Raw genomic sequence first — 25,282 nt, 5'->3', positions numbered from 1 at the left:
ATTCCAGGAGTTATTTACTACTAGTAGTAATAATAATATTAATAATAATAATAGTGGGGCTAGTAACAGTTGCTGTTATTGACAAGTGGATAGGATTATTATTTTGCTATGCATTTTATTGTATTTTAATCACAGAATATGGGCTTGTATTTTTACATTTTATAGTTGGTTGAGATTTTCTTTGTGTTAATCTTTGTGAAAGTAGAAGTTTTATTTTTAACTAGCATTCTCTGCTTATTTTGGGAATAATTATGTGTGTGTTTGCATGTGTGTAAAGAGATTTAGATATAAATAAGAATTGTTTTACTCTCCCAAAACTCTATTGGTGCAATAGTAAAGTAACTGAAGTAATAATAGCCCATAAAGATAAAGATAATAGAGGATGAATCAACAGTGTTCATAGATGTAAGTTAGATTTCAAAGATAGAAAACAGAATGGGGGTAAATGAGTCAGAAGGGCTAAGAAAACAGAAATATTTGTGCCTACAGAGGTAGTCACAGTTAAAAACAAATTAATTTTCCCCATGGGACTCTGGGGAGGTTTTGGACTTGGGGGCACCAGTTTCCAAGGTTGCACATCTGTACTGAGCAGTTAGGTGCCACCCCCATGTCTTTTCCAATCTCCTTGTCTTCCATGTGTGGCCATGGAAATATCCATTCCTATCTCTGCAGGAAATAGGAGTTTTATTATCTTTGGAATTGAGAGGCTGCAGATGTGGGGAAACCACAAAAGGAATAAATAAGTTTACATCCAGAATGCTCACACCCCACCTCTCTTCCTTGCCCTGTTCCCAGGAGTCAGCCATTTGGCATAACCCCTACCACTAGGTGGGGAGATTGCAGGATTATTTTCAAGAGAAACCAAGTGGTCACCAATAAAGAGGCTTATAAGGCCTGTCTTTAGAGGGTATGTGTACCAGAGAGACAAAAAAGCTGGCCGTCTAACTGCATCGTGGTGGAGGTCCACTGCGGATAGCTGGTGCAGATACCCAGAGCTTCCAATGAGCTTAAAGTCTTGCTCCTAAGTATGAGTGAGCAGCCCAAAGTCCCAATACCTGAGAGAAAAGACTCGACATGAAAGGCATAGACCAAGACAAAAAGGGGCACAAGAATTAAAGCCGGCCACGCATAGTGGCTCACACCTGTAATCCCAGCACTTTGGGAGCCCCAGGAAGGAGGATAGCTTGAGACCAGAAGTTTGAGACCAGCCAGGGCAACATAGCAAGACTCCATCTCTACAGAATAATAAAAAATAAAATTAGTCGGGTGTAGTGGCATGTGCTGCAGTCCCAACTGCACAGGAGGCTGAAGCGGGAGGATCAATTGAGCCTCGGAGTTGGAGACTGCAATAAGGCATGATCGTACCACTGCACTCCAGCCTGTGCAACAGAGTGAGACCCTGTCTCTTAAAAAAATTAATTAAATAAAATTTTTAAAATAAAGCAAATAAGCAAATAGAAAAGAACTTGGAGGAACAGACAATAGATGGAAGAGATTAAAATAGATAGTAGAACTAAAGTGATAAAGAGATGAATGTAAGGAGAGAGAAAGGGAAAAGCCTGTTAGATCTATCCAGGAGCTCCCACACCTGACCAGTGGGAGAAAACTGTGGGAAGAATATCATCAAATAAATAGTGCCGAGTAATTGCTGAGTAATGGCCAGATTGAGCCCATGAAGCGTACGGGGAAATGTGCAAAAAGTTAATTAAATTAAATTGAAAAGACCTATGCCAGCCACACGCAGCATCACACAATTTCAGAACACCAGGGATAAAAAGTAGATCCTAAGAGATTCCAAGAGGAAAAACAATCAAAAATGCAAACTGGCTATATACAAAGGAATAGGAAATGAGATAAAAACTCTGCTTCTCTGCTGTAACACTGTAAGCTGGGAGACCAAGTTCACTAAGGTTTATATGAGGGAAGTCTCTCGGGTGGGATGCATATAGGTGCTTGAAAATGTGTCTGAACACTTGGAAAATTACTGACAGGTATTTGACAGGTCTTTGGAGCGCTTAGGGAGAAATGGCTCCCCATACATAGAACACTAATTAAATTATAAAACAAAGCAATTGTCAGTGCCAAAAAAGCAAAAAGTTGTACAAAACAATTACTGTACACTGCTTGTCTAGTCAGAAAACAATATGGTCATATTAATATAAACATTAATTAATGATTTACTCACAAATGGTAATATAGATATATTGATTAGATAGAGGAAGGGAAATGGGGGTAGATATGTAAAAACAAAAAATGTAGCTAATAAAACAAGAAATCAGTATATAATATGAAACATTCATAAATCAAGAAGTAGCAACATAAGTATTAATTAGAATAGAAAAAATATGAAAAGCCATCACTTATAGGAAGTAGAAGTAGGAGAGAATAAAGGAGTGAAGCAGAATTATTTAATACGGCATAATTTTTAAACTATACACATTTATTACTTTAGTAAAAATAGAAAATATTTTAAAATACAAACATATGTATATAGCTATATTTTCAGTCAACATTATTGATTGTGTTAACAACCACCTTATACAGACATATCATTAATGACAAAGGATACACACAACATTCAGTGGAAATAGGATGGTCATTTTTTGAAATGGTGATAGGTCAAATATATACGTGTGTGCGTATACACACATATACACACATACATATATATGGATATACACACATATGTGTGTGTATGTGTATACATATAGGTATAGAGAAGTGTCTTACTGAGCTTTCTTTTGTATTTATCTGATATACCAAATAGCTTTGTGCCATATTCACCATGATGAAAAACAACAATGTATACGTATACACACACACATACACACACACACACGCACACACAAAGATAAAAGCCAACCTTGACCTTTATGATGGTTAACTTTGTGTATCAACTGGATTGGGCCATGGGGTGCCCAGATAATTGGTCAAACATTGTTCTCGGGGTGTCTGTGATGGAGTTTTTGGTTGAGGCTAACATTTGAATTGGTAGAATGAGGGAAACCGATTACACTTCCTAATGTCGGTGTCTCTCCTCCAGTCAATTAAAAGCCTAGATAGATAGAACGAAAGGCTGACCCTCCCTTGAGTTAGAGGAAATTTCTTCTGCCTGACAGACTTAGGCTGGAATGTTGGTTTTTTCCAGCCTTTAGACTCAAACTGAAACACTGGTTATCCTCAAGTCTCAAGCCTGCTGGCTCCTTATTGGAACTACACCATCAGTGCTCTTGGATCTCTACTTGCTGACTACAAATTTTGGAACTTCTCAGTCTCTATAATGGCATGAGCCAATTCCTTACAATAAACTTTACTATGTGTGTATGTATGTATCTGTCTATCCTATTGGTAGGGTTTATCTGGAGATTCCTGGCTAATACAACCCCCATTTCATACTATACAAAAAAATTAATTCAAGATGAACCAATGAACTAAATATGATAATAAAAATAAATTAGTTTTCTAGGAGACACATAGTAGGAAAAGATCTTTAATTATCTTTGAATAAGGCAAACATTTGTTTATCAAGATTAAAAATATACCAACTATAAAAGATTTCTATAATGATTTAATCAAAATTAAGAATCCCTTTTCATTAAAAGACACCTTTAAGAGAATAAACAGATAAGCCATAAACATGAAAGAGATATTTCCAGTACAAACCTTCAACTGTAAACTCAAATTCAGAGTATTAAAAAAAATGTTTCTACAAATAAATTAGAAAAATTTTGATGACCCTAACAAAAATAAGAAAGAAATATGAACAGGCACTTCACAATATAGGATTGGATTTTTTTTTAGATAAGGTCTCACTCACTATGTGGTCCAGGCTAGAGTGCAGTGGCAAGATCACAGCTCACTGCAGCCTAGAACTCCCAGGCTCATGTGATCCTCCCACCTCAGCCCTTCGGGCAGCTGGGACTGCAGACATGTGCCACCACACTCGGCTAATTTTTTGTATTTTTAGTAGAAACGAGGTTTCACCTTGTTGTCCAGCACAACAGAGGATTTTGAAATCGCCAATAAACATATGAAAAAGTGTTCAAGCATCAGAGAAATACAAATAAAGCTCATGAGACACTGCTATATACTTACAAGAAAGACTAAATTTAAAAGACTCACATTACCAGGTGTTTGGGAGGATGGAGAACAGCTGAAATTCTCTTAAATTGCTAATAAGAATATAAATTGGCACAATCATTCTGTAAAACTATTTAGGAATACCTACTAAATCAAAATATACATACATATTATCATCTAATAACTGTAATTACCAGTATATAAATCTTCTCCCAAAGTGGGTGTTCATGTCCACCAAAAGACATGCACCAGAATGTTTATAGCTACATTCTTTATAAAACCACCATGATGAAAAATGTGTCCATAAATAGTAGAACGGATAAATATATTTGAAAAAAATTTCAACTGTTTAAAAATTTTTAATTGTATAAATAAATTTCAACTGTATAAAAAATTCAATTTTTGCAATGGAATGCTACTCAACAACGAAAAGAAACAAAATCCTGATAGACACAGCATTGATGAACTCATGGACATAAAGTTAAGGGAAGAAACATCAACTCCACGATTTCATTCACATGAAATTGAAAACAAGTATAACTCCCCCAACTATTCTTGGAGAGATAATAATTGGCAGAGGGCATGAGGGAACCTATTGAACTGCTAAAAATGCTGTATCCCTTGATCTAGATGGAAATTACACAGGGATACACATATCTAAAAAGGCATCAAGGTACGCATTAACATTTGTGTGCTTTGTGTACTTAACAATGTATTTAAAGAAAGTAGTACACACACCAAAATTCAGGGCCACATGACCAAGAGACAAAATAAAAAACAGACACGAGTCTCACAGCCAGGTGCAGTAGTGGATGCCTTGCAGTCCCAGTTACTCAGAAAGCTGAGGAAGGAGAATCTTTTTAATCCAGCAGTTTGCAGCTGTAGCACTACCATAGCACCTGTGAATAATCACTGCACTCCATCTGAGCAACAAAGCAAGACTCCATCTTATAAAAGTTACACAGGTTATTCAGACAAATGCGTTAAGGTAATATTAGGTTGAACTATATGATAGTGATGCTTGTGTTGATGAAAACTGATGAATAATAGCAAGTTCATATAGTTGAGTCTAATACAAAAAAAATTCTGCAGGGAATCACAGAATTGAAAGAAGGAAAAGAAAGCAAAGCAGTGACTATATATGTACATGGACTGAAATCAACTGTATAAAAAGATAATGGAGGCAGGCGGATCATGAGGTCAGGAGACCGAGACCATCCTGTAAATGGTGAAACCCCGTCTCTACTAAAAATACAAAAAATTAGCTAGGCATGGTGGCGGGCGCCTGTAGTCCCAGCTACTCGGGAGGCTGAGGTGGGAGAATCGCATGAACCCAGGAGGCGGAGCTTGCAGTGAGCTGAGATCACACCACTGCACTCCAGCCTAGGAGACAGGGCGAGACTCCATCTCAAAAAAAAAAAAAAAAAAAAAAGATAATGGTATTAATAATATGAGGTTTGAAACATGGAAAATTAAAATATATGACAGCAAGACTGCAAAAGAAGAAGCAAATATATATATATAATCAAAAGAAGAAATGAATGGAAATTAGAAAAACTTAAAATACATTAAGATTAGAACTCATTAGATGGGTATAATGGAATATACCCATTTAAGTGGACTTAGAATGTCTCAGATTTTGAGCATAATCAGAGAAGTGGAAAGGCAATAACTTATTTTAGACATTAACACATCAATAAATGATGTAATCTTTAGGGTAAAAACTAAAAGAATAATAAAATAACAAATAACAATAAATTAATAAAGGAAAGAATGAGAATAATGAAAAGTCTGATTGATTTAAAAGAAGTCAAGACAGGAGAGGCCAAAGAATATGAAACAAGTGGGTCAAGTAGAAACAGAAAAAAAAATGGAGGACAATAAACACAATATAACAGTAATTACATTACATATAAATGAGTAAATGCTCCAAGAAGCAAAGATTGGCAGCCTGAGTATAAAGACAAAACCAAGCTATATCCTGTTTAAGACTCACAAGTTGGGGCGTAAGAACACAGAGTTGTTAAAAATGAAAGGATGAGAAAAGACATACCATGCAAACCCTAACCAAGAAAAGCTAGTGCAGTCATAGCAATATCAGATAGAGTAGACTTTAGAACAAACATTGCTAAAAACAAAGAGATATATTTCATAATGAAAAAGGGATAAATCCAAGTGAATGTACTCCTCCATTCTAAATGTGAATGCACATAAAAACGTACCTGCAAAATATAAGAAACAAACATTAAGAAAATTAAAATTAGAATTAGAAAACAGTAATCAGAATAAAAGAGTTTAACATGATCTTCTCAATGTAATATGATGAACAACTTTTATAAGTTTCACAATTTTTGTATTTACTTTGCCTTCCTGAAATAAAACAAACTTGGTCATTGCATGTTATCTTTTCACAAGTCATTAGCTGAAGGGATATAGGTTTCTGCTCCATACTAATGAGTAAGATTAGCCTGTAACTTTTTTCATACATTGTCCTAGTCTAGCTATGATATATCTGTGTTGTGGTAGCCATATAACATAATTTGGGAATTGTACCCTCTTGTTTTTTTGTTTTGTTTTGTTTTGCTTTAAAGTGTTTGTGAAGGTTTAGGATTATTTCTTCATTGGTATAATGTATCTATAAAATCATCTGTGCCTAGTGTTTCATAGTGGAAAGTTTTTTTTTAATTAATTTATTTTTTTAACTACTGATGCATGGTATTCAATGGCTATAGGACTCTAGAAATTAAAGATTTCTCCTTTGGTCAGATTAGTTGATTTTTTTTTTTAAGAATTTGTCCATTTCAATTAAATGTTGCATATATTGTCATAAAGTTGAAAAAATAAACTACTTTCTTTAAATCACAGTTTAACCTTTTTGCTTTTTTCATTCTCAAAATAATTGTATTTGTGCTTTCTTTCTATGATGTTTTCATAATATATCTTGCCAGAGTTGGTCTATTTTATTATTCTTTTAAAACAACCAAATATTAGCTTTGCTCAGTTTCTCTAGCATAATACTTTTTATTTTATTAATTTCTATTCTATTTTAACATTTGCCTCTTTTCCAATGTAAATGGTATAAATTTTTTAGATGCAACTTTCTTGGCTTTCCAAGAGTTATTATAAATACATATGTGTGTGTGTATAAACCAAAGTATTTTTAACATTATTAATTACTAATTTCTAATTAATAGATATAATAAGCTACCTGGAGATACATTTTTAAATTTCCATGTCTGAGATTCTAAAACTCATTTTAATTTCCAAATTAACCATGTTGTGTTCAGTATGAAATCAGTTCTTTGAAATTTTTGTCTTACTGCATGTGTTTCATTTTAATAAATATTCCACGTATCCTTGGAAAGAATTTTTCTGAATTTAAGAATGTTATTTTATATTACCTATTAATTAAGTTTGTTAGTTTATGGATTAAATTTTCTATATATTCAATCATTTGTCTTCTACCTGTTCTATAATTTACTGAAAAAGATGTGCTAAAATCTTCTGCAAGATGATGGATTTATTTGTTCTGCTTCAGTAATATTCATTGTTTCATTTGCATATTGTAAAGCTATGCATTAAATTCATAGAAGTTTGGGGCACAATACGGTGTGATATACTTTATATTCAGTAGTTCATTTTGAATTACTAAGTTTGTATAGCGTTGATATTGCTACACTAGCTTCCTTTTGGCTCGTTGGTTTTTATTCTGTATACCTGTCTTCATTTTTTTACTTTCAAACTTTTGTGACTGAATATTTTAGGTGTTCCTCTTGTAAACAGAATATTTTTCTTAAATTGGAGTCTAAAAACCTTTGTTCTTCACCTAGAAAGTATAATTCATTTACATTTATTGTGCAGATTATTATAATTGATAATATTTCTATCATTTAATTTTGGGGGTTTTTGTTGTTTTTCACTGTTTTTCTATCTTTTTCGGTATTTTAAATGTAGGTGATTGGTCTAATCTTCTGTTTTTCAGTTTTCTAGTTCATTAATAGATTTTCCCTCTTTCAGATTAATAGAATCAGCTTAGAATATTTAACACCTGACACTGATATATGCTGTTTTTGCCCAATATTTTATTTTTACTCAGTTTGTACTGTACACTTTATAAATCATAATATTTGTTTTACATTGTATTATTTAATTAGTTCTACCCACATGTGTATAATTTTCTTTGCTCACCATTCTTTCCTACACCTCAGATTTTTTTTTTCTGAATTACAAACAATGGACTTTAGAAGTTTCCTTTTTAAGAGCCTATTCTTTTTAAACTCTACAATTTTTTCTTGTTGATATATATGTATTTCAACTTCATTCTTGCAAGATATAATTTTACACCTGGCAACTCCAGGTTTAGAGTAATATTTTTTCAAAATTTTGAAGGTATTGTTTTATTTTCTAGCTTCTAGCATTGCTGTTCATATTTCCATTTCCAGAGAAATTATCATTAATATGCATCATTCCTCTTCATTTTCTGTCCACTTTTTGCCCTGAGGGTTTTGCAGCTGTAGATTTATTCAGTTTGGGAGAAGTTGTGCTTTCTGAATCTGACAATTAGTATTTTTTAATCAATTTCAGAAATTTGCAGCCACTTTATCTTCAAATATTACCTTTTCCCCAATTCTCTCAATGTGTTTATTCTAGAACTCTGAAAAGACATGTTAGACTTTCCTACTCTATTTTCTATGTCTGTTTATCCTGGGCCTTGAGTTTTTTTTAAGTCCTAGGGATTTTATCATTCTTTTTCAAAAGTTTCCTGGTCATTTTTCATAGTTTCTAGTTCCATAATCACACTTTGGAAACTCTTTATTTAATTATAATAAACATACTTTAAAATATTCTGAATTTTATCATTGTGGTAGCTATAGGTTTTGTGATAATTCTGTAGTTTTTTTTTTTTTGCTGAGTTTTGCTATGGCAGGCATGTTGCCTCATGTGATTTGTAATTTCTGATTATGGATACATATTATCAGGAATTTTTATCTATTGGAGTTTTTTGAAATCTGAAGTTAAAGTGGTCTTCCAAAGAAGATTTAGTTTAGTTCTCCTAGACATGTGAGGATTGCCAATTTGAAATCACTTTAAAATAAAATTTCATGGAGATTTTCAGTCCACACAGGTAGTATAAATTTCAGTCCCAAACTCATGCAATGATTTATATTAGAAATTCTTAGTAAAACCTTTCTTCTTTTTATTCCAACTAGAGCCTAAGACAAGCCACAAGGATATTTTATTTCCTCTGTGGAGTGTGTTTCTTCCCTCGTTCACTTCTAGGGTTCTATGTATAGCTGCTTCTGATCAGACCACCCAGCTAGTGCACACCTAGGTTTTGTCTCCTGTCCTGCTTTTGTGCCTTGGACTGTGTGCCACATTTTAAAGTTTTCTGTAGCAAAAGTTTTTTCTCTGGACATCAAATTTGCCAGTTTCATCATACTTTCACTCCTAACACTGCAGAGCACAAGTAAGAAAACAGCCTGATCTTTCTTCTGTTTTAGTTGGCTTTTCTGTCCTTTATGGAGTTTTTCTTTTCCTTTGAAATAAAAATATTTTACAAAATTTATGTGCAAAAACTAATCACTTTTCATGAACCTCATCAATGGTATTGTAAATGTAAAGCCATATGAATCTTCAGATTAATGTCTTTGTTAAATCCAAAATACATTTATACTATTATATCCTTGATAATGTATTCAGTTTTATTTTTCTTGTCTCTTTTTTGGGGGAATATCAATGGTATATATTTTTTTGTTCACTATTTCTTCCTATATTTTAAATCTGGATATTTGGATATTTGAATATTTCGTATTTAAATGAATATTTCAATATTTCGCTTATCTCCTCCATGTCTCTCTCATCCTGACTCTCAGAACGTCTATCTTCATAGCTAAAAAAGAAAATTCTGCCCTGTTGGAGCTTATCGTGTTTTCCTTCTGTATCCTTCATTTGTTTTTTTTTTTTTTCTGGTATCACTTTTGCCATTTAATGCCTATAATGTCATTTTCACCTGCACTGTGGTTCTATCTATTTATTTACAGGATTTTAGTAATTCAGGAACCTCCATTTCATTTCAGTCTGTTTGCTCATTTTCACATCTTTTCCTTCATTTTACAGAGTTTATTTTTTTCTGAATTTAACTGAAAGCACATGGTAAATAATGCAGTATATTTTAAGTATGTTATAACTGCCATATTCTTTTGCTTAAATAATGCAGAGTCTTTTCATAGGTACCTTTTTTTGGTCACATTATTCAAGCTAAAACAAGAAGAAGTCTACCAAACTAGGTAAATGCCCCAAACAGTGTGAGCTGATTCTCCCCCTCATCCCTCCCTGTCCACCTGGATACATTCAGATCTGAAACTGAAAGATGGGTTGACAGAAGTTTACAAACCAGTTTAGTTCTACAGCGACTGGAGAGGAGCAGAAAGCATCCTGGGAGATGATCATAGCAGGAAAATTTCAATTTGCTACAGTTCCTTTTCTGTGTTTGCTTAAGCCAAACACTGAGGATTAGCTTTCCATATGGAGTTTTCCCTTTAGATCTGCCTCCACGTCCAATGTGGAATACCACTGCTTCCCAGCCCCGAGGTCCGGTCCACTACCTTGGGAAGAATCATGTCCGTGCTGGGAGCCCTCCATGCCTGGGGTTTCGTATTTGCAGCTGTTATTACAGTTGTTCCCCCTTATCTAAGATTTTGCTTTCCACAGTATCAGTTACCCAGGGTCAACCTTGGTCTGAAAATATTAAATGAACAATTCCGGAAATAAACAATTCATAACTTTTAAATAGTGTGGAGTTCTGAGTAGCTGATAAAATCTCATGTCATCATGCTCAGTCCTGTCTGGGACGTGAATCATTCCTTTGTCCGGTATATCCAGGCTGTAGACACTGTGCACCCATTAGTCACTTATAGGTTAGTATATCCACTGTCTTGGTATTCCAGAGCTTGTATTCAAGTAGTCCTTATTTTTTAAAATTTATTTTTATTTTTTATTTTTTAATTTTTTGAGATGGGGTTTCACTCCGTCACCCAGCCTAGAGTGCAGTGGTGCGATCTGGGCTCACTGCAACCTCCACCTCCCAAGTTCAAGCGATTCTCCTGTTTCAGCCTTCTGAGTAGCTGGGATTACAGGTGCCCACCACCAAGCCTGGCTAATTTTTTTGTATTTTTAGTAGAAATGGGTTTTCACCATGTTGGCCAGGCTGGTCTCGAACTCATGACCTCAGGTGATCCACTCACCTCAACCTCTCAAAGTGCTGGGATTACAGGCATGAGCCACTGAGCCCGGCAGCCCTTGTTTTACTTATTTTGTTTTTTTTGGTTTATTATTAGTTATTGTTTTTAATCCCTAACTATGTGACTAAATTATAAATTAAGCCTTATCGTAGGTATGTATGTACAGGGTTCAGTACTATCCACAGTTTCAGGTATGCAGTGGGGGCCTTGGAATGTATCCCCCGAATATAAGGAGGCACTACTGTACTCACACTTGAACCTCTCTGAGCAGCTACGTCCCACAGTGTTGACCCATAACAGCTAAAGAACAAGGAGTTCACGTCAATCGCATGACCTGCCCACAGCTCCATTCTCAATACTTACAATGCAGAAGTGTAAATGGATCTGCCATAGTCTCTTCTAGTCTCCTGACACCTCCTGCTTTCTCAGACAAGCAGGTGCGCATTTCTTTTGGGTCTTTTCTTCATTTTTTGACCTGTCATTTACTTACTGTATTTTTTTTGAGATGGGAGTCTCATCCTGTCTCCCAGGCTGGAATGCAGTGGTACAAGCATAGCTCACTGCAGCCGCGAACTCCTGAGCTGAAGAGATGCTCTTGCCTCATTCTCCCCAGTAGCTGGAATTACAGGCATGAGCCACCACGCCTAGGCTCCTGCTATTTTTAGTAGGAATTCCTTGCAGTTTCTGACCTTTCTGTAGCACACCTCTTCCCTATTTTCCAAGGAAGGTGTTGGTTATCACTCTTACTATAGTCCTGTTGTTATTCTCGTTAGAATCTGGATGTGGGACATTAAACATCTAAAATCATCATCTTCATTTACTGAGAAATCTGTCTTAATTAGGACTCTCCAGATTTTCATGTATTTATTAAATATTTTCAGAACACATTTCATGTCGGGCACATCCTAGGCACCAGGAATACATCAGCAAACAAAGTAGACACATCTCTAGCAGGAGAGACAGGTGCTAACAAACAGACATTGCTAGAAAGTACATCATATAGTACGTTGGAAGGAGACAAGTACGCTGGAAAATGGAGAGCTGGGTAAAGGGGCACCAGGGCTGGGAGAGGACCAGAGAAAGCCTCACTGAGAAGATAATATGTGAGCAATGGTGTGAAGGAGAGGAGAGAGTTGGCCACGTGTATTTCTGGGGGAAGACCATTCCCCAGACAGGAGGAAGCAGGAGAAAGACCCAGTGCAAAAGCTCCAAGTCAAGGCTGAGCCTGGGGTATTCAAGGGAAGGCCAGGAGGCACGGGCGGCTGGATCCCAGGGAGCAAGCAGGCAGAGGGGCATGGAAGATGGGTCCCAGACATCATGGGAAGCCCGTCATATGGACTTTGCAGGAGACACAAGGGCTTTGACTGTTACTTAAAGGGACATGGGGAGCCAACAGAGAATTTTGAAGAGAAGAAGGTTACGGCCTAATTTACACTTCGAAGGATCACTTTGTTGTCATGTGGTTTTTTGTTTTGTTTTGTTTTTGTAAGAGGGAGTCTTGTTCTGTTGCCCAAGTTGGAGTGCAGTGGCATGATCTTGGCTCACTGCAACTTCTGCCTCCCGGGTTCATGCGATTCTCCTGCCTCAGCATCCCGAGTAGCTGGGATTACAGGCACCCCCCACCACACCTGGCTAATTTTTATATTTTTAGTACAGACAGGGTTTTGCCATGTTGGCCAGGCTAGTCTCGAACACCTGACCTCAAGCGATCCACCCACCTTGGCCTCTCACAGTGCTGGGATTACAGGTGTGAGCCACCACAGCCAACCTAAAGGATAACTTTGGAGGCTACATTGAACACAGAAGTCCTGGGATTCAATTAGAGTTCCTGGGACCCAGTTGATTGTCCCTAAGGTCATGGACTTGAGATGTAAAACTGTCACTCGCACCCAGACTGCACAGGAGAATTACCTGAGAAGCTTTTAACATCCCCATGCCGGCCAGGGGCAGTGGTTCACGCCTGTAATCCCAGCACTTTGGGAGGTGGGTGGATCACCTGAGGTCAGGAGTTCACCACCAGCCTGGCCAACATGGTAAAACCCAATCTCTACTAAAAATACCAAAATTAGGTGGGCATAGTGTTGGGCACCTGTAATCCCAGCTACTCAGGAAGTTGAGGCAGGAGAATTGCTTGAACCTAGGAGGCGAAGGTTGCAGTGAGCTGAGATCACACCATTGCACTCCAGGCTGGGTGACAGAGCAGAACTCCATCTCAAACAATAAAATAAAATAAATAAAACAAAATAAAATCCCAATGCCAAAGCTGCATCCTAGACCAATTAAATCAGAACCTCTGTGGTGCATCCTAGGCATTGATGCTTTTTAAAACTTTCCAGGGATTCTACTGTGCAGGCAAGGTTGTGAGCCACTGTTTTTAATAAAAAGAAGTCTCCTTTGACTTCCTCCATGAAACTGTGGGATCCTGGAGGACAGGGACCATGCCTTTTATTGGGTTGTCTCCATGGCATGTACTGGGTACATAGGAGAGGTGATTTAATCCATGAAATTTCAATTTCACCAAAATGAGAACACAGAATACTGATGGAACCATGTAGTCTTCCCAGCCCAGAGCGCAAAGCGAGGGAAGCTTCTGCACAGTTCTCGAGAATGAAACTTGAACAGAAGCTTCATCACTGATTTAAGGAAGAAAGAGAAAAATAGCTACTTCTCAAGATGTGGAAAAGCAGCCCTTCCGTTTTCAGAGGAAATACAAGTTCTCGCCACTGATATGTGTGTCCCAGGGATTGATGATGCTGAGGCTCTGGGACCTGTCTTGAAGGAGAGATCTTGGTGCAGGACAGAGCTGTGGGCTGCCTCAGTTTCCCCTGTAGCCGCCATGCTCTCAGCAGAAACCGCGGTCCACCCCAGCTCACAGAGAGCTCGTGATCACTGCCATGTTGTGAAATCATGGCTTATGTCATCCCACTGGGTTCATCCCAAGGTCAGGCTCATCCCCCAGGAATGCAGTCCCTCTGCAGAGCCCTTCACAGCCTGCAGGAACCCTGGTCTGTCCTCGCCAGCTTTGCATGGTGGAGCCGAGGCTGCTGGGTAAATGTCAGGCAGCCAGGTGTCTGAGACAAGTGGGACCAGCTGCCTGCCCTGGAAGCTGGCAGAGCTCCAGCCCTTGCCTGGTTGTCCCAGTGCCTGCAGCTCCCACGTGTTCAGGATGCAGAGAAGAGCTAACATGGCCAGGGAGCCCAGCTGGCTGGGGCAGCAGTTCCCAAGAATGCCAAGACCCACCTCCAAGACCACATGGGAGGACTGGTCTCCACTTGCCTTGTCCAATATGGAGCCACTGGCCACATGTGGCTACTGGGTACTCGAAATATGGCCAGGGCAATGGAGGCACTGAATTTTTAACTTTACTTCATTCTGTCTAAATCCAAATTTTAAAAAACTGATACTTGATTCTGTTCTTGAAAAACTCATATGCTTAGATATGTTCAAAACAACTTAGGTATTTGAATCTACTGGGAAGTTTGTGAAATTTAAATACAGATCAAGTCAAGAAAAACATAGCATCCAAATCAAGATGGGCTGTAAGTGTGACATGCACACCAGATTTTGAAGATCTTACCAAAAAATTGAATACATCATATTCCATTAATACTTTTATATTAATTAAATGTTGAGATAATAATTGTTTTCATACCTTGGGTTAATAACATATATTATTAAAATTAATTTCTCTGGTTTCATTTTACTTTTTTCTGATTTCGCTATTGGAACATTTAAAGTCACACAGGAGGCTCACATTTTATTTCTATGGATCCATATCAGCCTTGTCCAGGACAGAGAGCATCCCACCATCCCTAAACCGATAGAAGATGGTCCAAGTAAGTATTCCATATCATGGAGTAGGCCAAGAATAAACAAGCTCAATGAAATTCTAAGGAATTTATTTTCTGAACAAGAATTTCTGCTCCCTCCTTCCTGTCCTCCGTAAATAAATCCTGTTGTTTGAAATGCCTGTATAGTTAGGTGTTGATCACTTTCATCAGCCAGAGTCTGCCATTAGGACATCAGGGAATAAGAATTCTACTATCTAGCAGGCATCATGGAGGAGACTTTAAATGCTTATTTTTGCTTATTAGCGCTTTACTTCTGTGACTTAAAAATATTCTGGTATGGTATATTTAAGTAGTCTATGAGGCTATAGAGACAAACTTGAAAACAACCCTTACAAACATACTCTGAGTATTTAATTCTTTTACATGAATGCTATAATGTTTAATGCACTGATTTGAGAGTTGCTTTCATGAGTTAGCCTTACGCTAGATTTTGTCACGTTAAGTCACAGAGGACCCCATTATATTTTTACCAGCCATGTAGTATTCCATTGTATGAAGAAACTTGATTTTCTTCTGATTCATAGAGACTTAATTTCCCATTTCTTTTTTATGTTACAAGAAAAAAATGCTGCGATAAACATTATTTTGTGGCTGGGCATGGTGGCTCAAGCCTGTAATCCCAGCACTTTGGGAGGCCGAGGCGGGTGGATCATGACGTCAGGAGATCAAGACCACCCTGGCTAACATGGTGAAACCCCGTCTCTACTAAAAAAACAAAAATACAAAAAATTAGCTGGGCACCGTGGCGGGTGCTGGGTGTAGTCTCAGCTACTTGGGAGGCTGAGACAGGAGAATGGCATCAAAAAGAGCTTGAAGTGAGCAGAGATCGCGCCGCTGCACTCTAGCATGGGCGACAGAGCAAAACTGTGTCTCAAAGAAAAACAAAACAAAACATTATTTTGCTTACATCTTTTTGAACATGCGTGAATGTTATTTTAGAATTTCTAGAAGTGAAATGGTGGACTAGGGGTTAGTCCTGTTTTTATTTTGATAAATATTGCCAAATTTTCCTCCAAAAGAATTTTAACAATTTATATCTGACTGATGGTACAGTCAGAAAAGGGGTACTGATGCCCCTTTTCCCACATCCCCCCGCCCAACATTTTGTCAGCCTTTTGTTTTCCTATTCAAATGGGTAGTCAAGGCCATTGGTGTTTAAGTACCTATTTCCCAGGCTTCGAAGAGAGAAACTAAGGGAATCTGCCTTTTATATTGGATAATAGTATGTATTATGTGAATTGTTTTTTATAATCTTTGTCCATTTTTCTCTAAGGTTGTTTGTCATTTTTAAACAGAAACTCTTTATGTGGATTGGATCCTAAACTTTCACTAATAAAATATAGTTAAGTATTTTGTCTTAACATGCTGCCTTTTCTTTTTCTGTCTTCTTTTTACTTTTTAATTGAAGAATAACATATATGCAGAAAAGTACATGATTTTAAAACAGTGAGTTCATCAAGTTTCACAAAATGAACATATCCCAGGTCAAGAAATAAAAAAATTTTACCTGCCATGAGGTTCCCTTCTTACACCCTCCCAGTCACTACCTCCTTTCTCCATCTAGAGGTAATGATTTCCCAGCAATGATAACTATCAAAAGATGAGTTTAGCCCTTTAAAAATTTATATAGAATAATCATATGTCATATACTTCTCAGCACCCAGCTCCTTATTTCTGTTGGTCAGTATCATGTTTGTGAAATTCATCCATGTTATACAACATAGGTACAGATTGTTTCTGTTTTTGTATAACATTGCATTTAATCATTGTATCATATTTTACCTATTCTACTTCTGATGGACCTCTGAGTTGTTTTTATTTTAATTTCAGAGTTTGGCTTTTATAAACAATGCTGCCATGAATATTCTTGTACATGTTTTTCAGTGTATCTTTATATCCTTTGCAGTTGGGTGTATGCCACATAGTATACACAGAGTATAGACAATGTCACTTTTTCAAAGTAGTTTCATCATTTCATGGACCTATCAGCATTGTAAGAGTTTTGGCTGTTCCACATTCTCATCAACACTTGGTATTGTGAGTCTTTCTAATTTTAACCATTCTAATGGGTGGATAGTGGTATTGTGTTTGCCTTAAATTTGCATTTCTCAGATGAGTAATGAAGGTGAGCCCTCTTTCATATGTTTCTTTGCCATTTGGGCATCCTCTTTATGATGTACCTGTTTGAGTCTCTCCCGTTTCTCTATTGGGTTGTTGTATATGCCAGGATTCAGTTAGGAGAATGATTCCACACTCAGAAATTTGAACAAAGAAAAAAAGTATTGCAAATATTTCTTAAGTAGGCAAGAGATGGCGAATAACCAAAAGAGGTAAAAGAGGACTCTAAGTTGTATCTGGGTAGCAGCTGCAGAAAGCGACCACTCCTGGGGCTGAGAGAAAAGGAAGCCAAGGAAGAAACTTGGCAGCTTAGAAAAGAGGCCTCTAAAAACAGAGATTCAGATTGTTGAGATGATGCAGCTGTTGCAGAACTTTGTCACATGCCTCTGCAATAAAGACAAAGCTTGCTGGGCTATCCCAAAACCATGAGAAATGCCTACTGTCACAGGGGCGCTGCAGGAACTCACGGCCCTTGGACTGTTCTGCTTACCACCAATGGCAAAATCCAGGGAGAGAAAACATCCCTGTCCCTCTTCCATTCTTGCAGCCTCCATCAGTGATCCCTATTGACACAGCCTGACATAAAGCCACTGAGCAAAGCAGGAACTGAGTACAGATCCCAGCTCCAGTATTGCAAACTAGGGGGAAATTGGGTGAATTTGGAGCTGAGAGGCAATAAATTAATAGCTGGCACAGTTGTGTGTCATTTTGTATTGATTTGCAGGAGTTCTTTATATATTCCAGGAATAAGTTGTTTATTGGTAATTTGCTTTGCAAATACATTCTCCCACTCTGTGATTTATCTTTGCTTCTTCATGATGTCTTTTAATGAACAAAAGCTTTTCATTTTAATGCAGTTCAATTAATCAATCTTCTTCTATGACACTACTTTCTATATCTTACTTGAGAAGTCTTTTCTACCCTAAGGCTATAAGAAAACTCTCCAATGTTTTCCTTAGAAGCTTTATTGTTTTCCTTCCACACTTAGATTTATAAACTACCTGGAATTGATCTTTGTATATGGACAGGTTGGTGTGAGGTAGGGAGTCAACCTTTTTCTCTATATTATTCAATTGGCCTAGTAGTGTTTATTGAAAGGACATCGTTTCCCCATTGCAGTGTGCTTTTTGTCATGGATCAAGTGTCCCTGACTCTCTCTGACCTGTTTCCTGTTCATTGGCCTATTTATCCATCCTTGAACCAATGCCACAGTCTTCACTGCTGTAGTTTCATCATAACTTTGAATAACCAGAAGAGTAAGTCCTTCCACCTTCTTCTTCTTCTTAAGGAGTATCTTGGCTATTCTTAGCCCTTTATAGTCTCATTAAAATTTAAGTCAGCTTGCCAATTTTCTCCAAAAACAGATATTGATGTCTTTATTGAGATTACATCAACTATAATAAATCATCTGGAGAGAATTGGCATAGCTAAAATCCAACCCAAGAACAAGGTATATAGATCCATTCATTTACATCTTAGTAATAATGATTTCATTATTAAATAATAAAAGGTAATATAGTGATGATTATTAATGATAATACTTTATAATTATTGTAAAGAAGCCTCACATACTTTTCATTAGATTTATTTTTTTGAGGTGAAAATTTAATGCTGTTGCAAATATTTTTTTAATTTTTAATTTCTGTTTGTCACTGGTAAATTGAAACAACTGTATGTATGGTGATTTTTAAATTGCCAATAAAGTCTGATTACTCTTTTACTTTATTATGTCTAAGTTTTCTCTCCTGCTTTAGAAAGTCTTTATTACCCAAACCCTAAAAATTATTCTGCATTTTATTCTTGTGCTTTCAAAGTTTTGTTTTTAAATCTGTAGATTTCTAACCTATTTGCATTTCACTGCATTAATGTTGTAAAACAAAGATCTTGTTTTATTTTTATTATTCTGTAAATTTTCATAGACATATGGGTCCGTTTCCAGACTCTGCACTCTTTTTCATTAATGTATCTTTCTTTTTCCATGTAATAATAAAATATAATTAATGTATTTAAAATACACTTTAACTACTATAAAGGTATATTTTGATAACATAAACCCCTCGTTATCTTTGTCCAAAACTGTCCTGACAATTCTAGAATTGTTTTCTTTCCTGTATGATGAACATTAGAATAACTCTTTCAGATTCTATATGTTGCATTGTTGATTACAAATGCATTGAATTAATTGATTAATTTGAAATAAATTGATTGTCTTCAGAGTACTGAGCCTTTCTCTAGACTCAATAGAAACATAATATGCCAATTTATTCATTAAATTTTCTTTTTATGTCTCCAATGAAGTTTCATAAGTTTTATTTTTAGCATTTTTTAAAAATTAAAGTTCATGTAAGTAACGCATTAACATGATCTAAAATTTAGAAGTATACCCAGAGATATCTCAGTCCCAGTCCAGTCCCTTCACCTACAGGAAATTATTTTTATTAGTTACTTGGCTTTATTAGTTACATGTTTTGTTTTGTTTGAGATGTGGTCTGGCTTTGTCACCTAGGCTGGAGTTCAGCCTTGAACTCCTGGGCTAAAGGAATCCTCCTGAGTCCTGGGACCACAGAAGGCCACCACCACACCTGGCTAATTTATTATTTTTTTATTTTTATTTTTTTAAGAGATGGGGTCTCACAATGTTGTCCAGGTTAGTACTGAGCCCCTGACCTCAAGCAATCCTCCCACCTTGGATTCCCAAAGTGCTGGAATTATAGGTGTGAGCCACCATGCCTAGTCTAGTTTTGTGTTTATCCTCACAGGGTTTCTTTAGGCAAAAAGAAACAACTACAGATATCATTTTAACCTCCTTGTCTCTCTTACAAGAAAATGTGGCTCACAGGCACATTGTTTGAATTTTGCTTTTTGTCACTTTGTATTATTAGCGCAGCTTCCTCATTCTTTTCCTGTGCTGCACACTGTCCCTTTTCTGTGGATATGACACAGTTTATTTAACCAGTCCCTTATAAATGAATATTCAATTGTTTTAAGTTTTTTGATATTATACATTTTTCTACTGTAAAAAAAACTTTGTATTATGTCATTTTGCATACTTGCTGGTATAGCTGTAGGATAATTTCCCAGTAGTGAGATTGCCAGGTGTTTGAGAAAAAAACCTCAAACTGTGTTTTCTCCTACTCTCACTCTTCACAACAATCATCACAGAAGACTTCCGTGACCCTAAAATATGTGGGGAGTTCTTCACACCACCAAGTGAGCCATTAATTCTGCAGTGAACACTGCAGTGTGAAATGCTGATTTTATATATTTATAATGATTGTCAAATTGCCCCACACAGGGTTGGTTTTATTTTGCTTTAAACCAGCAATACATGTAGCCCTTCCACCATAACCTCTCCCAACAGTGTATGTTCTCAAACCATTGGATGCTTCAATGTGAAAAGTCAAAATTGATATCTTCAGAGTATGGAGACTTTGCCACTTGCATTTCTCTGAGTGTCCTCTATTTCAATTCAATTCTGACACTATCTACCGAGAGATAGCGTCAGATGTTACAGTGTGAGGGCTCAGTCCCCAAGACTTCCCTGACTTCAGATGTCAGTTGCAAGTCTGGGCCTCTAGAACTTCTGACTGAAGGGCTTCAAGTTGGGGTCCCCACAACCCCCTCTTTGGACTTGACTAATTTGCTGGAGTGGCTCACAGAACTCAGGGAAACACATGTACCAGTTTATTATAAAGGCTATCACAAATGAATCAGATGGAGAGATACACAGGTGAGGTACAAAGGAAAGGGCACTGAGCTTCCATGCCCTCCCTGGGCACCACCGTTCAGGAAGCTCCATAAATTCAGCCACATGGATGCTCCAGACCCACTCCTCTGGGGCCTTTTATGGAGACTTCACTGAATAGGCGTGACTGATCAACATGTAGAAATGTGATTGGACAAAAAGGGCATGATCCAAACCCAGCCAGGCCTATCCGTTCAGATTCTTTTTGGCCTCTCTGTGCAGTATTTTTTTCTCCAGGGTATGGGGCAGGTGACAGGAGGAAGAAGGTCAGAGAGAGATTCTGTTTTCTGAGGTCTGCTCCTGAGGCCTGAAGTGCCCCAACATTATGATAATGGCTATGGGAGTTAGGCAGGATGAAAACCTCTAGATAGATACATAGACAGGCAGACAGATAGATAGATAGATAGATAATTATATGATATATATCTCATAATGTAGGTCACCAGGAAATGTTGATTTTATATATTTATAAACACTGCCAAATTGCCCTACACAGGGTTGGCATTATTTTGCTTTGAACCAGCAATACTTGTGGCTCTTTCACTATGGCCTCTCCAATGATGTAGTGTATGTTCTCAAACCATGGGATGTTCCAGTCTGATAGGTCAAAATTGATATCTTCAGGTGTTGAGCCTTTGTGATTTGCATCTCTGCTGTTATGAGTGAAATTGAGCATCTGTTCATGTCTCAGGGTCATTTGTGCGTATCTGTTGTCCTGAGATGTTTTTTATTGGGTTCCATTGGGTTTTGTTTCCAGGCACATTGCCTCATTTAGTCCTCACAATTAACTAGCATGGTAGTCATTGGAACATCCATTTCACAGATGACAAAGGAAGGGAAGGCTTAGAGAATTTAGGCAACTCGGCCAAGTCCCACAGCTAACTAGGATGCAGAGCTGGGATACTCATCCATTTTTGTCTGACTGCAAAGCCGCCTTTCCACGGCATCACCCTGAGTCTAGGGGCGAGACAAACCTTATCTTCTATCTGAGTCTCATTTCATAACCAAGATCTAGAGTCATGCAGCTTCTGCTTGAATGTCTCTGGTGACAGGGTCCAAGCAGCCCATCCCTGTCTCTGTATTCTTTTTTAATTGTAGTAAAATACACATAAGATAAGATTCACCATTTTAATCTTTTTAGGTGTACAGTTCCATGGCATTAAGCGTGTTTACATTGTTGTGAATCCAACTCCAGAAGTTTTCCATCATCTCAAACAAACTCCACATTCATTAAACAATAATTCCCTACTTCCCTTTACCCAAACCTTCTGGCAAGCCCATGTCTACTTTCTGTTTTGATGAATTCAACTACTTTAGGCACCCCATATAAGTGGAATCATACAAAAGTGTACTTCTGTAACTGGCTTATTTCACTTATCTTTATCTTTGAGGTTCATCATGTTGCCCTATGTGTCAGAATTTCCCTCCTTTTTAAGGCAGAATACCTCCCATTTTATGCATAGCCCACATTTTGCTTTTCCATTCATACATAGATGGATTTTTGGGGTTGCTTTCACCTTTTGGAATGAAATATCCAGTCAAGTCCCTCCTTTCAACTCTTGTGTGTATGTGCCCACAAGTGGAATGGCCAGCTCCTACAGTAATTCTATGCTTAATATTTCAAGGACTCCTCACAACCACCACTCTTTGGACTCTCTAGTTTCCACAACACTAAATTCACCTCCAGTCTCTCATCCATGTTCCAGAGATGCCCTGGCTGCTTTCTCAGAATTCTCCTAGACCCAGACATCCATGGAGGCTTCTGATTCCTTAGACTTTGGAAGGAACCCAGTGCTTGTAATCTCCCAGTTGGTCTTGCTGTTTGTCAGGGAAAATTCAGGCCCTTCACACACTTCTCTCTGAGGCACGAAGTTGCACCCTCCACCCCCACGCCCTGGAGCAGGTATCTGTAGCTTTACCCACTTTGCATCCATATCTCCATCTTCTGGGGAAAACACCAGGATTGGGACAGTTCTCTTGAGGCACTGTGGTCAGTTTTCGGGGGACAGCCAGCCAAGGGCCCTGCCCTTCCCCAGCTAGGGGCTGGGCATCATTGAGGCTCCCACTCTCTCCCAACCCTCTCTCTCTCTCACTCTTGCTCCCTCTCCTGCTTTCTCCTCCCTCCCCTTTCAATCTGGACAGACACAGGTAAGGTCAACACTTGGCACCCATCTCATGCCAGCAGAGTTTTCCTGAAGTAGCTACCTATTAATTTCTGTCACCTGGATCTCACATTCTTCAGCCTTTCCTATGATTCTCCCAACACACTTCAATTTCTGTGCAAGTTATCCAGACCCAGTGAACTGTGCATATTGCACTCCCTGCTGCAGACGGAAAGGGAAAGTCACCCTTATCTTAGCTGAAACCCGGTTCTGCAAGGCGTAGCTCTATTCCCCTCTGCACCGCCAGCACTGCTTCCTGTCATTCCTAGATTATATAAGGACAGAGCTGACACCAGACATGCTCTTTCCTGTTTGGTAGCCAGGGAAGGGCACATACCTGTCTCCCAAGGGCAAGACCCAGGTGGCCACCTCTTCCACGTCCCTCCCATGTGGCCACTGTGTTGGGCAAGCCAGCAGGGCTGCGGTGAATGTTTACTGAATTGACTTGCAGAGAGGTGGGTGGGATCCTACGCAATTTGGGTTTTCCTCTGCTTAAACAGACACTCAACTAGTTAATTAACTGATTCAAGAAGTGGGGGATTGACAGCATTTTTGAAAAGCGCATACACTGACAGAAGCCAGGCTCAGATGAATGCAAAGGGAAGAAGCTTTGTTGAACACTTCCCAAGGAATGACAGGAGAATGTTGTAAAATGAGTCTAGAGAGTTCAGTGATATCCTCTCCACTGCCGTGCAAGACACAGCCCACTGCGTCATCCCCGCTTGATTCTTGATGGAGCTGTCACCTATGTCTGTGCCCTGCCCCTTTAGAGAACAGACATGTTACAACAGACCTGATTGTGGAGCAGCAGGTGGTAGGGGAATTACCTAAGATATTACGTAGAAAACGCCGAGCATCGAATGTGGCCACCCAATGATGACCAATAAGGTCATCATCATAGTTGTCATCATCACTATGGAAACACAGTGGGGGCTGCCCAGCCTGGGATATGGGGGAGAGGCCAGCACACACCAGCCAGCCTTGCCCTCTGGACCCTGTCCTGAGTGGTATTCACTATGTGCCCAGGCAATAAGCAATGGCCAGGGAGGCTCTAATGTCATCTGCTGACTTCCAGCTCAGGTTCCCCCAGAAGCAAGCCAGGGGCTCCAGCCTTTGACTTCTGTCTCTGATTGTTCCTCTCAGAAGGCTTCCTGGAGGAATGAGGCATCATAAGGGCTTAAAGGATAAGACTGAGCCAGCGTGGACATGAGGGTGAGAATGAAGAGTCCTTAAAAGAAAGTTAAGTGTCCCAGGAGAGACTCCGGTCAGGGACTGTGTACACAGTATGATTGTGGTCCAGAGACAATGGGTTTGGAGACATGTAGACCGGAACCTAAACCTTGGCTTGTGTTAGCACTGAGACTCAGAGAAGTCACTCTGCCCCTCTGAGTGTCAGTTTCCCCCTCTAATACCAGTGATAAAATACTTACTCCAAACAGATATTAGGTGAAGTCAATGAGGCCATATATTTTGAAGCCCCCAGTAGAGTCTGGCACACGGAAATAGCTTGATGAGCGTTGGTCTTTATTCTTCCCTCATGCATCAGTTCTGTGGCCCATGTCTTACAACACCTGGATCCAGGTTTTAGAAGACTGCTATGGCCAACTGAGAGCTGGAGCTAGAGGGCAGCCTGAATCTGAGGATGCAGTGATAGGAAGAAACCCACTTGGCCCATGGACCTGAGCTTGGCTGAGTCTCCCCTAAGGAGCAGCCCATGGTGAGTGGCAGCCATGGAGCCAGGTATTGGGGTTGGGGGTGGCAGGGAGGGACAGTGGCCAGCCATGCATTCCTGTGGGAGAGCCCCACAGAGGCTGAGCCTGGCCAGGCATCTCAAACCTGAGCAGCTCAGAGGGACTCTTGCTGCACCCCCAATCTCAAGTAGCCCCTCTCACTAGATTCACCCTCTTACCCATCATTACATTCATGCTTCCTGGTTTTTGCCTGTCTCCCTAACAGGAAGGGAAGCTCCTTTGGGGTTTTGTTTCTCAGTGAGTTTCCAGCAACAAGCACCATGCCTGGCACAGGGCAAAAGAGCAATAAATGTATATACTAAATAAATCAACAAATGAGCTAAAAGCTATGATT

At 38.6% G+C, this 25,282-nt stretch overlaps 1 annotated feature.

Annotated features, from left to right (window-relative positions):
* Window positions 13,848-14,348: an enhancer, noted in NCBI's record as "H3K4me1 hESC enhancer chr19:31939361-31939861 (GRCh37/hg19 assembly coordinates)". NCBI's record gives its function as "activates a minimal SCP1, AML or CMV promoter by ChIP-STARR-seq in naive H9 embryonic stem cells {active_cell/tissue: H9 hESC(naive)}" and the evidence as "EXISTENCE:reporter gene assay evidence [ECO:0000049][PMID:30033119]".

This window comes from Homo sapiens, chromosome 19, assembly GCF_000001405.40.
Source record: "Homo sapiens chromosome 19, GRCh38.p14 Primary Assembly".
NCBI lineage: Eukaryota > Metazoa > Chordata > Mammalia > Primates > Hominidae > Homo > Homo sapiens.
Note: the sequence above shows the minus strand (reverse complement) of the source record. Positions and strands in the feature narration are given on the sequence as shown.